General features: G+C 38.0%; 1 protein-coding gene across 10 annotated transcripts in view; it reads right to left on the bottom strand.

Moving 5' to 3' along the window:
• Positions 1-4,699: 4,699 nt before the first annotated feature.
• The window catches only part of FNDC3B (fibronectin type III domain containing 3B), a 362,092-nt gene continuing 353,849 nt past the window's right edge, over positions 4,700-12,942 (bottom strand). For all 10 annotated transcript variants that reach the window (NM_022763.4, XM_017007062.2, XM_024453717.2 and 7 more), the window contains one exon: positions 4,700-9,205. In NM_022763.4, coding sequence (NP_073600.3) covers positions 8,894-9,205 — 312 coding nt within the window. In that variant the 3' untranslated portion in view covers positions 4,700-8,893. The remainder of the gene's footprint in view (positions 9,206-12,942) is intronic.

Here is a 12,942-nt window from a genome sequence, read left to right as displayed (position 1 = left end):
ACAACTTCTAGAGAACCAAATGGATAAAGTTGGGGTGGAAGAGGGTGTCTCTGGCTCGCTGCTCCTAGGAAAGACCGTCAGACAAAACAAGAGGCCCACTGTACCCTTGCTGTCTCCCCCAGGCCTAGTTTAAAATCAACATCTATTTTCTTATCTCAGGCTCTGCAAAATAATGATGTATATACAACCTTCAGGGTTTGTGCTAAAGAACTTTTACTTTCCAAATGCCAATTTTCACTCATGTGACTATTCAGAAGTACTGAACAGGGAAAAATGCACAGTAAAACAGGAAATTCTAAGCCAGTTATTGAGGCTGGTGGGGATCAGCTGCACAAACTTTCTAGTCCAGTTCAATTTCCAGCTCTATGTGGATCAAGGTTTTTCTTCTCTCTCTCTCCTCCAACAGAACTCTTCACCTGCAGAAAAAAAAAATGTATGTGCAGGTGCTAGCATACAAATGTGTTCTGTTCCATAGATCCACTTGTATCTCAGGAGGCAGTGTTCCATGGTGCATCATTCTCAAACTTTGGTCATTTGCTTATCGTCCCTTTGATTTCTGCCATATCTGAGTAGCCCTTGCACTATGAGTTACTTATTATATTTATCAACTTAAATATCCACTTTAATCTGATCTGTTTTTCTTTGGTATACCTCCTTGGTACAGATGACAAAAACTACATAATTTGAAAGATGTTAGACATGTGCCACTTAGGATTGTCTTGTATAACCACCTTACTTTGGGAAACACTGTTAGAGTAGAAAATCAGAGACATTCAATGGCTCATAGATGCAAAAAATTTTATCTGAATTGAACATATTTCTCTTATAACTGATTGGACAGAAAATAAAAATCCATACCTTTAGTCCTAAGAAAAAATTAAGACCCATCTTTTACTATATTTATCCTTTGACTCAGAAAAGGGGGAAGAAATTTCATTTCTTTGATATGGTTTTGTTTGCCACAAAAATGGATTTTTATTACACAAATAATTCATTTTTCATTTATTTTATTGAGACTGAGTCTTGCTCTGTTGCCCAGGCTGGAGTGCGGTGGCACGATCTCGGCTCACTGCAACCTCTGCCTCCTGGGTTCAAGTGATTCTCCTGCCTCAGCCTCCTGAGTAGCTGGAAGCTCCTGCCACCATGCCTGGCTAATTTTTGCATTTTTAGTACAGACTGGGTTTCACCATGTTGGCCAGGCTGGTCTTGCACTCCTGATCTCAAGTGATCCAACCGCCTCGGCCTCCCAAAGTGCTGGGATTACAGGCATGAGCCACCACATCTGGGGCCCATTTTTCATTTATAAGGCTAAAATATTAGTTAAGACCAAACAACTCTTTAACCATCATTTCCCCACTCCCTATTAGGGTTAATCCGAGTTATGAATTCGGATTGTATTGTTCCAGACTTCTTCCTTTGCATCTGGCCACTGTAATCTCTGTTCAGCTTAATGGTCCTCTAATGACTGTTCGCAGATTTCCTTAAATACCAGGAACCAATAAATCTTCCACTCTTTGTCAAGGGCTCCGAATGTTGAAGTACACCTTTAAAGCTCAGGAAGTTTACAATTCTGGTTAAGCCAAGACCTTGACAACAGACAGGAGTGAAGGATGGGGGCGTTCTCCATCTTCTGAGTCCGGGCACAGCCGTGCACATGCATATGGTCTGCTAGATCCCCACGACCATGTCAGAAACTTTGAAAAGCCTCCTATGGACATTTCATTCCCCCGATCTTCAAGTTTTTAGCCTATTTATTTACTTCAACTGGTACTACAGCCTAGGCAGCTACTGGGTTAAACAACTGCACTGATTATTTTCCAACAAGTACCCTGGGTATTAGGCTTTTCCCATGGAGCAGCTGCCAGTCAGTTTAAATAACACCCTACAAATGGCACCTTTTCCAGGCAGCTGTGAGGTACGATAAACAGTGACAATGCTCTGGGGAGGAGACGTTTTGAGGAGCTCCAAACTGAGTATGCTCCCTCTCCTTGCTGCAGGGGTGCTGATTCCAAGACTACGGTGGAGCTTCAGAGAGCTAGGATGGAGCAGATTGAGTTAAAATGCCACAAAACCAGCTGTTCGTACCAAGGTTCAGATGGATGCAAACCTGCGGTTAATTTCCAAAGTTCTAGAAAAGTTGATTCTGGTACTTTTTTGCTAGTGTTTTTGTTGTTTTTATGGAGAAGTGGATTTATGGAGGTCCTCATTCCATCATTGTGGATGTCCTGTCCATGTTTACTCACCTTTGATGGAGATATCAGAAAAGATAACATCCATATCCATGCCAGAGATTTAGTGAAAAATGTGATCAAGAGCAGAACAAAATGCCCCAACCAGCAAAGGCAGCCAATATTCATCTCCATGGATAACCTCCGTGTCAGAACAAGACCTAGAGTTGCCAGGTCTTCCAACTTTCAGTAGAATCTGGAATTCCAGTATTTTATGTAAAATTTCCAAATTTTAAAATATTGACAACTACTTCATTAAAAAAGAAAGTATTGCACTGAAAATAACACACTTGAGGGGAAAGATTATGGGTTGAAGCAGCAAGTCTATGGATCACATCACTGTTCTGCCAACTTTGGTTACCAAATTAGGTGAGTTCAATTCAACAAATCTTTTTTAGCTTCTAATATGGGCCAGAAAATGTGCTAGATGCTGCAAAGTTAAAATGAGGCTTGCTGCCCCATGCACACACTCCCTTCCCCCAGCTTTTGAGGTACTAGTCTAGCAGTGGAGGTGGGAATTATTTTTCAGTTGTCACCCTGAATAAAGGGTATCTGTAGACAAATTTAACTATTGATTTTAATTGGCTCAAGGCAAAATACCCTGAGAGATTTGTTTAAAAGGCTCATTTTTACACTCCTCCTGTTTAGGGAAATGTATGTGTGCACTCAGGTCAATTGGGGATGGGGAAAGGGTAAGAACGTGATAGTTGCATAAATCCTCTCGTGGCATAGGGTCAGAGAGCCAACTTCTGACCTAAATAAAAAGCACTGGAAACAGAATCTCATAGATGTTTCTTTGATTCATTCACTTATATGGGAAAGCTTATCCTCCAGTAGCTTCCTGAGAAAAGGTGCATGAGAGACAAACTTGTGGGAGTTTCCAGTTTAAAAAATGTCTTCGTGGTAGCTTACACTTGACTGAGAGTAGGCAGGCGAGAAATCTATTATATTTCTTTCAAAATCTTGAAGCAACTGCTTATGTCTAACGCCACGCTTGATTCCCAATCCTTCTATGTGACCAGCTTTTCATGTTGGGGAGGTTCTCTAGTGTTGAAACTTCAAGATGGCGAGCCTTAGTACAAGTCCTATTTTCATCCATTGTGTTGTGTGCTCCCATACCCTATTATTCTAGAAACTCATGTGTTTAACGATTTCCTCTCTTCCACTTTCTGTTCTTTCTGGAGTTCCTATTACTTGGATATTGAATGGTCCTGGTCTGATCCTAATCTTTTCCTTTCTTTTTTCCTCAAATTTTCAGGTTATTTGCTAAATTTCAGCTTCCAACCATGCTACCGAATGTTTAATTTCCAAGAACATTTTCTTGTTAACAGTTCCTTTTCTATAGTAGTCTATCTTTATTCTACAGATGCCTTTTCTTTTCTCATCTCTCTGGAGATATGACAGGTTTTTGAAGCTTCTTCTCCATGTAGTCTCTGATTCTTCCAAGTTGTTGGTTTTGGGCTTTTCATCCACGTTAGACACTTTCATCAGATATCAGGTTATCCTTGGTTAAGATGAAAGACTAAAAAGCTGATAGGGGATTGCTGACTGAGAGTTTCACTTTTCAGCAATGGTTCTCAATTTCATATACACAGTGAAAGCGCCTGGGGAGTGTTAAAAAATACTGATGCCTCTGCAATACTCATTTTATTGGTGTAGGGTACGAGAATTTTGAAAAGCTCTCTAGGTGATATTAATGTACAGGTTGAAAAGTACTACCCAAGAGTGCTCTGGCTGAACCATTTCATTGAAGATTTTTAGATTTTTAGATTTCTTTTTTGTTGTTCCCAGCCCATGAGGCTCTTTGTAATGTTCTTCCATAAGCCTATGTTCACTAATTTGCTTTTGATATGGTGCCTTCATTCTCAACTGTGGATCGTGTCTCCCAGTCCAGGGACTTTCTATTTGAACCTTCTCCTGAGGATACACCTCTAGGCTTCTGCAAGAGTGATGGAGGTGGGTGGGGAGGAGGGACATTTTTGTCCAGCTGAAAAAAAAAAGGGGGAGGGATTTTATTGATCTAACTGCATTTTAAACAGCTTTCAACCAATACTATTTTAGCCTCCTCTCTCTCTTCACTATCACTTCAAAGGGATATGTTGCTGTCAATTTTTGAGCCTTTAGGGTATCCTGCATTGAGAATAAAAACACTGATGCTCATTTTCTCCTCTGCCAAATTAGAATTAAGTTTTGTTGATCATATTTCCAAAATTCTGGTGCCAATAACTCCTCTTTCTTCCCAGTCTTGAGGGTTGAGTTGTGACTTAAAAAAATAAAAAATCCTTTACTTTTAGTGGTGTCAGGAGCATTCAAAATTTGATGTGCTCAATTTGTCATCTTTACCCAGAATAATTACCATGCTTCATATAAGTGAGGTTCAATAAAGTGACAGTTTTTTTTACCCATTTTCCTGAAAAATAAAAGAGATAGTGGGAATTCCTACTAAGACAATCTAAAATCACAAAACCATGGCCATAGCAGGAACACTGTGTTTTATTGCTGTTGTTGTTGTTGTTGTTGAATGAGACCTGCAGGAAAGGACATGAACACTCTATAGAGTTCGTCAGGGGAGAGGAAGCACCCAGTGTGCCAGGTGAACAGAGGGAGATCTGGACTGAGTTTTGGTAGACAGATAAAGTATTAGGCAACAAGGTACATTATCCACAGAGACTCTGATAAAGGATTAAACTGGCAGCCTGTATAGTCCACAATCACCTTTTAGTTGGCCCATGGAGGAAATCTGGATATTTAGCTTCTTTTGAAACATGGACATATGTGATTGTGGCTCACAGTCCTCCAAGGCCTTGGTCAGCAAGAGCTGAGCTGCTGCTGTCTCTGCAGAAGGCCACCTGCCTGGCCTCCAAAAACACGTGAATTTTCAACTAATCTGAATGTGCTTTAAGTATTTAAAAGGGAAGAATAAGGCTGGGTGCGGGGGCTCACACCTGTAATCCCAGCACTTTGGGAGGCCGAGGCGGGCAGATCACGAGGTCAGATCGAGACCATCTTGGCCAACATGGTGAAACCCCGACTCTACTAAAATTAAAAAAATTAGCCGGGCGTGGTGGCGGGCACCTGTAGTCCCAGCTACTTGGGAGGCTGAGGCAGGAGAATGGCATGAACCCGGGAGGTGGAGCTTGCAGTGAGCCGAGATTGGGTCACTGCACTCCAGCCTGGGCGACAGAGCAAGACTCCAACTCAAAAAAAAAAAAAAAATTATCCGGGCATGGTGGCGAGTGCCTGTAATCCCCAGCTACTTGGGAGGCTGAGGCAGGGGAATCACTTGAACCTGGGAGCTGGAGGTTGCAGTGAGCTGAGATCGCGCCACTGCACTCCAGCCTGGCGACAGAGCAAGACTCCGTCTCAAAAAAAAAAAAAAAGAAAGAAACAACAACAACAACAACAAAAGCAATCCTAGTCATGGCAGAAAAACCCTATTTAAGTCAGAAAGAATTAAAACATTTATTGGGCATAAATATATTACATATACACTACAGATACAGTTAGGTATTACATATAGCATAATATTTGCAAAATCTATACATTAAAATTGATATGGCAGTTTTAATACAATGTATATGAAATAGTCTAAAATTTACAATACAGGAAAACATGATTTTCTTTTTCTCCTAGAGTTGAAAAGCTTGGAATGTATGTCCAACAGTGAGGTAAAACATTTTATCTTTCAATTTAAAGAATTGTGCAAGGATAACATTCAAACACATTCAATTAGGGCACTTCTCAATTTTGACATGAATACTGAATTATTGTAGCCAACAAAACAAGGTTAGAAAATGCCAACATTTCAAGTTGATAAGAACAAGGCAGAGAATATGCAAAAAATCTCTTTAAAAAGTTTTCTTTTTCAACAATTTCTTTGAGGACAAAGGGCAGTTTGCTTCACATGACTGGAATTTCTTGTGCCAGGGATGAGTTTGACATACAGAGAAGAGTCAGAGCATCAGAAGGCCACTCATTCACTCCTCACATAGCAAAAGGGCAAAGAGATCAGGTTAATAGAACACTTTATTTTATTGTTCGTGTGTGATGGCAATATATATAGTTATATATCAATATCACATATACATATTTGTGATAAAAAACAGTGCCATAGAGAGTAATAATTTTCTGACTGAAGGAATATAATGAATACCAAATAATGGAGAGCAATAAAATAAAGTGCTGTCAGCTTTGTACTTCACACACTTCAGCTTCCTGGTGGTTAAATGATAGTATGAAAATCTCAAGAAGATCAAATATTCATATAAATTTTGGCCTAAAGTACTATTTACTTAAAAAAAAAATTCAACCAATTAGAGAATTTCTTTATAGCAGCAGTTCTGAAGTGTTTCAAAAAAGAGACTTCCCCAACCCCCCAAGAGGGGGCTTTGTACTCAGTTGAATTTTCATTGCTTAAAAAATACCTCTCCCCAAAACACCTGCATGGAATTTTTTAGAAAATGCAGATGCTGTGGTCATAGTGGGTCATAGCACACATTTAAATAAGGGGGTGAGTTTTGGAAGGCCAGAACTTTGGCAAAAATATATTTACCTTGATGCCATCAGTTTGCAAAGCTAATTAAACTAATTATTATAGTCAATAATAAAATACAGAACTCTCTAGTACTCACTACGTCAATATAGGCACACAGAATAATTCATTGATCTCAGCATTTTCTTCCAAGAGATGATTATGGTTTTTGGGTACATGTAAACGTTTCAATCACTGATAATGTATTTTTTTTTTGGCATTTAATGCACTAGATGCTCTTATCTTTTTAAAAACATAAGAAAATGTCAGAAGATTAATAATACTACAGATGTTGCCAAGGAACAAGACTGACCTAAAATTACAAAAGTATAAAACACAAAAATATAACATGCTACAAGGGAAAATTAGTACATAAGTACACTTAAAAAATTTTACAATAAATAAAGATTGCACTGTAATTGGCATTTAAAGTACTGTATGCAGAATATAGTATAAATAAACCAAAAACAAAATAATGTTTGTTTCCCCATGACTTTGGTATGGGAATATTATAAGCTAGTACAGGATACTGCATCTTAGACAATAAAGATCAAGCACAAAATAGCTATGATCAAGAAAAACCAAGTAGCAAAAATATACAAAAACAGAAGCAGGGGGATACACTGTGTCTGTTGCACCCTTTTGGAATATATTTGCACCTCCAACTCTTAAATGTCCCTGAGGTACTCGAACATTATGGACTTCATATAAATAATCCAATGACTTTGGGTTAAAATTGATTATCTCATGACTCAAAATAAACACGTAAGAGTAACACTTTGCACTCCAATAGCACCTGTTGGTCAAAGATCTCAAAGCACTTACAAACATTAGAATCCCCGTTTTATTTTATTTTATTTTTCATGCATGGGAAAACTGAGGCACAGAGAGGTAAAGTGACGTGTTCAGGTCACGCAGCAAGTTAGTGACAGATCCAGGGAGAGAATCTAGGCTCCTTGATCCCCAAACACCCTGTGTTTACCATCAAACACCATTCCCTCTCCAACCATGGCCAGGCAAACCCACAGAAATAGGAACTACAAATTTAGATGACTCTCTTTTGGGTTTTATCAATTTTCATCTGCTGTTACATTAGTATTATGTGCACTGAATTAAGGTATTGAAATTCAATCACTTCATTGATACCTCAAAGAACAGCCTAAAGGCAAATGTTTCAAAAATAATGAGCTGACACATAAGAAGACTGCTCACAATTAGTGTAAATCATGGACAATGGGCAGAGGCACTAAACTGTCACCAGTTCTTGTCATATAATTCTGGTCAAACATAACAGAATATAATAACTCTAGTGATTAGATTAGAAGTAGTTATATACAAAGACAAACAAACAAGTTAAAGCAGCCTTTAAAATAGCTGAACAAGAAAACAACTAACTATTGCACAATGCCCTCTTAAAGTTACTGCTATGAATTGATGTGGTAAAATCTACAATGCTCCATAATTTATAGGTGCATTCTGGTTACTTGATTTCTTATACAGGCAGCTCATAGTGTTAAAATTATAAGAAATACAGATTATTAAAACATTTTAGATTAAAGTACACATTTTGATTTAAATGAGCTAAACACAGTTAAATAACTGAGTGACAAAATGGTTGTTTAGGGCAGTCTTATCTGAGTGAACATATCTTCTGTATGTTGCTGTTGCTGTGTGGTAATACTCTGACAACACTGAAATCCTAGCCCTGTAAGTACACACACGGTGATTCATGTTTACAGATACAGATGTTCAAGACATATGAAGTGACTGGTGAATATAAATTACTAAACTGTAACAAAAAAAAAAAAATCAAAGGCTTGCAAAAGACATCAGTGAAAACAGAATGAAGGTAAATCTGAAAATTTAAAGGAAAACATAAGAAAGCTAGCTTTTGGTATCTGGTATACTTTTCTTCTTTTTTTTTCTTTTTTTTAAAAAAAAAAATCCAGTTTAACCTTTTCCTAGTTTTGCATTTCAAAAAGGTGCACCAAAACACTGACATTTTTTTTCTAGCTAAATCTGTAAAACAGAGTATATAAATCAAAAAACAAAAGGGCTTTAAAAAGGGGAGTATCTGAATAAATGTGTGTATTAAAATGTGTAGCATTAATTCATACCTCTAGTTTTGTTGGGTTTACTTCATTAAGAAGTACTGTAATATAAAGGCAAATAAAATGGACAAAGTTGCAAAGCCAAGCACAATGATGGCTGCAAACTGTTCATCAGTAGGCATCATGCTCTTCATTTTGGGATCATCTAAGCTCCCCATGTCCCCTGTAAGCATGACCTCACTTCGTTGTAATACAAAAGCCGCAGAGGGGCTGAAGGCTCCGCTTAGCTCCTGAGAGGTGTCTAAACAGCGACGACACGCACATACGCGGAACCTGTAGTCTGTGTTGGTCTGGAGGCCTGAGATTTGGAATGTGGCTTCTTCTCCCTTGTACACCTTCAGGAAAAGAAGAGTCCTAGTTAATTAATTTATAGCAACACTGTTGTCTCTAGAAGAATCTTGGTTTAGATTCACTCCATTCACTCTTGGTTTATATTCACATTCACTCTTATAACAAAGATGATATAAAAATGTACTTCTCTCAATCTGTATTCCAACCATAAAAAGGGTATTCCAACACACTTTGAATGAAACAATATAAAATCCAGTGACTCGAACTTTGACAGAAGGAGATAAGGCACTGACTAGAAATGCAGCTGACATTTTAAGTAGTAAGGATGCATCTCACTAAATTTTAATAATTTAGGTCAGCGGTCCCCAACCTTTTGGGCACCAGGGACTGGTTTTGTGGAGGACAAGTTTTCCACGGACAGGGGTAGTTTCAAAGTGAAATTGTTCCACCTCAGGTCATCAGGTGTTAGATCCGCATGAGGAGTGCACAACCTAGATCCCTCGTATACACAGTTCACAATACGCTTCATGCTTCTGTGGGAATCTAATGCCTTACTGATCTGACAGGAGGCAGAGCTCAGGCAGTAACGTTCCTGCTTGTCAATCACTTCCTGCTGTGCGGCCTGGTTCCTAATAGGCCACTCACCAGTACTGGTACCCGGCCTGGGGGTTGGGGACCCCTGATTTAGACTATAAATCAGAAGATGTCATAATACAAATAGGTCTATGTTTTTGGTCCCAAGAACAAAGTTAACATTCTAAAATGGAAACAATTAAAAACTGAGCAAACAAAATGTAAATTTTCCAGCAGGATGATTTTTTGACAACTGGATACATTACAAACGCATCCCCTCAAGATATCCCACCTCCACCCCAAGAGGTAGACACTATAATGACTTCTAATTCTGTAATTAATTTTGCTTATACTAGGAGTTCATATAAATGGAATCATGCAGAACACACTCCCTTGTGCCTATGAGATTCACTCATGTTATCGAGCTATTCGGTAGTAGTTCCTTATAACTATACCTTAATTCCTCCATTTTCTTTTCGATGGACATTCGGGTTATTTCCAGTTTGGAGGTTTCGTATAATAAAAATGCTATTAATAAGAATGTTATGAATGTTTTTGTTCAAATTTTGAGAACTTAAGTTATTTTTCTGGGTAAATACAAGGAAGTGCTGGGTCACAGAGTAGTTCTGTAGTTAACTTCACAAGAAACAGTTTTCTCAAGAGATTGGATCCCTTTGCGCACGAGAGTCTGAGTTGCACCACATCCTCTTCAACATTGATCGTCAGTCTTTTCTATTTTAGCTATCCTAGAGGGTGCGAATGGTACCACGACTGCATTTCTGTGATGCTGAAAGATGCTGCGCATCTTTTCACGTGCTTACTGGTTGTTCATGTACCTTCTTCTGTGAATAATATGTACAAGTCTTTTGCCTATCTTTAATTTGCAATTCGCTTGACTTTTATTAATTTGCAGGGCCTTGTTATGTGATCTGGATCTAAGTCCTTAGCCAGATATATGTGTTGAGAATATTTTCTCCCAGTTTTGTGGCATGCCTACTTGTTTTCTTGAGGAATTTTTTTTGGATGTAGCCCACTTTATCACAAACTAACATTTAAATAATTTGGTGGTCTGTCTTGAGTTTTCATCTCTGTATGACAAACCTGATTTCTTCTATTAAGAATCTGGGATGTTTTCTTCCTATTTGTTAACATTAACATAATCATCAAGAGGCTTACTGTTACAGAAACTTGAAAATGACCAGTTTACTTAGACATTATCACATTTTGGTTGACTGAAACTAACAAGAGTCTTTGAAGGGGAATGGAGGAAGAAGGTCTCACAAGGTTCTTCTAGCAAAATGAAACCAATCCTCAAAAAACTTAAGAGGAAATGATAATCAGATTAAAATTGCATAAAAATTTATGGCTTAGAGTCAATGGACAGACAAAGAAAAAAATAGCAGAAATGAAACCAAATCAATAAGCGATTTGGCTGATAATTAAAAAAGAAAATAAAATTAACGGAACTCTATCTGAGTAGTACTGAGTTAATACCTGTGAAGTGCTTAAAACACACCTGGCATGAAGTTAGTGCACAGTAGGAGTTAGCTATTATTATTATTGCTATTTAGAACTGAAAAATAACCCAGCAATAAACTTGTCAATTTTGTCAAACACTTTCTTTGCATCTAATGAGATAATTATATGGTTTTTGGCCTTCATTCTGTTAATGATGTATCACATTTGTCGATTTGGGTATGCTGAATCATCCTTGCGTCCCAGGGATAAATCCTACTTGATCATGGTGGATGATCCTTTAATGTGTTGTTGAATTGGGTTTGCTAGCATTATACTGGGGATTTTTACATCTATGTTCATAAAGGATATTGGCCTGTAATTTATTATTATTATTATTTGTAATGGCCTTGCCTGCCTTTGATATGAGGATGATGCTGGCCTTGCAAAAAAGAGTTTGGAAGTATTCCCTCCTCATTTACCTTTTTGAAAGAATCTGAGAAGGATTGGTATTAGTTCTTTAAATATTTGGTAGAGTTCAGCCATGAAGCCATCAGGCCCTAGGGTTTTCTTTGATGGAAAACTTATTGATTTCATCTCCTTACCCATTGGTCTGTTGGATTTTCTATTTCTTCAGTCTTGATAAGTTGCATGTATCTAGAAATTTATACATTTCTTCTAGGTTATCCAATTTGTTGGCATATATTTGTTCCTAATAGTCTCAAATGTTCCTGTGTATTTCTGGGGTATTTGCTGTAATCTTTTTTTCTGATTTTGTGTCTTCTTGGTGTAACTAAAGATTTGTTGATTTTTATCTTTTCAGAAAAACAACTCTTAGTTTTGTTGATCTTTGTACTGTTTTTCTAGTCTCCTTCAATTATTTCTGTTTTCATCTTGTTTCCTTCCTTCTGCTAACTTTGGGCTTAGTTTCTCCCTCCCCCCAGTTCCGTGAGGTATAATGTTACGTTGGGATCTCTCTTGCTTTTTGATGTAGGTGTTTATTGCTTTAAACTTTGCTTTTAGAACTACTTGTGCTGTATCCATTTTTTTTTTTTTTTTTTTTTTTTTTTTTTAGAAGGAGTCTCACTCTGTCACCCAGGCTAGACTGCAGTGGCATGATCTTGGCTCACTGCAAGCTCCGCCTCCTGGGTTCACACCATTCTCCTGCCTCAGCCTCCCGAGTACCTGGGACTACAGGCACCCGTCACCACACCCAGCTAATTTTTTGTATTTTTAGTAGAGAAGGGGTTTTACCCTATTAGCCAGGATGGTCTCCATCTCTTGACCTCATGATCTGCTCACCTCAGCCTCCCAAAGTGCTGGGATTACAGGTGTGAGCCACTGTGCCTGGCCGTATCCCATACATTTTAATAAGTTGTGTTTCCATTTGCCTCAAAATATTTTTTAATTTCCATTTAATTTCTTCACTGACCCATTTGTTGTTCAGAAGTATGTTTTTTATTTCCATGTATTCGTGAATTTTCCAAAATTCCTTCTGGCATTGATTTCTAGTTTCTTAACACTGTGGTCTGAAAAGATACTTGATATAATTTCAGGCTTCTAAAATTTGCTGAGGCTTGTGTTGTGCCTTAACATTTGATCTATCCTGGAGAATGTTCCATGTATGCTTGAGAAGGATGTGTATACAGTTGCTGTTGGATGAAACGTCAGTTAGGTCCATTTGGTCTACAGTATTGTTCAAGCCCAATGTTTATTAATTTTCTGTCTGGATTATCTGTAGAGTATTAAAGTC

This window comes from Homo sapiens, chromosome 3 (genome assembly GCF_000001405.40).
Source record: "Homo sapiens chromosome 3, GRCh38.p14 Primary Assembly".
Lineage (NCBI taxonomy): Eukaryota > Metazoa > Chordata > Mammalia > Primates > Hominidae > Homo > Homo sapiens.
The sequence above is the reverse complement of the archived record's forward strand: the minus strand, read 5'-3'. Positions and strand labels throughout refer to the sequence as shown.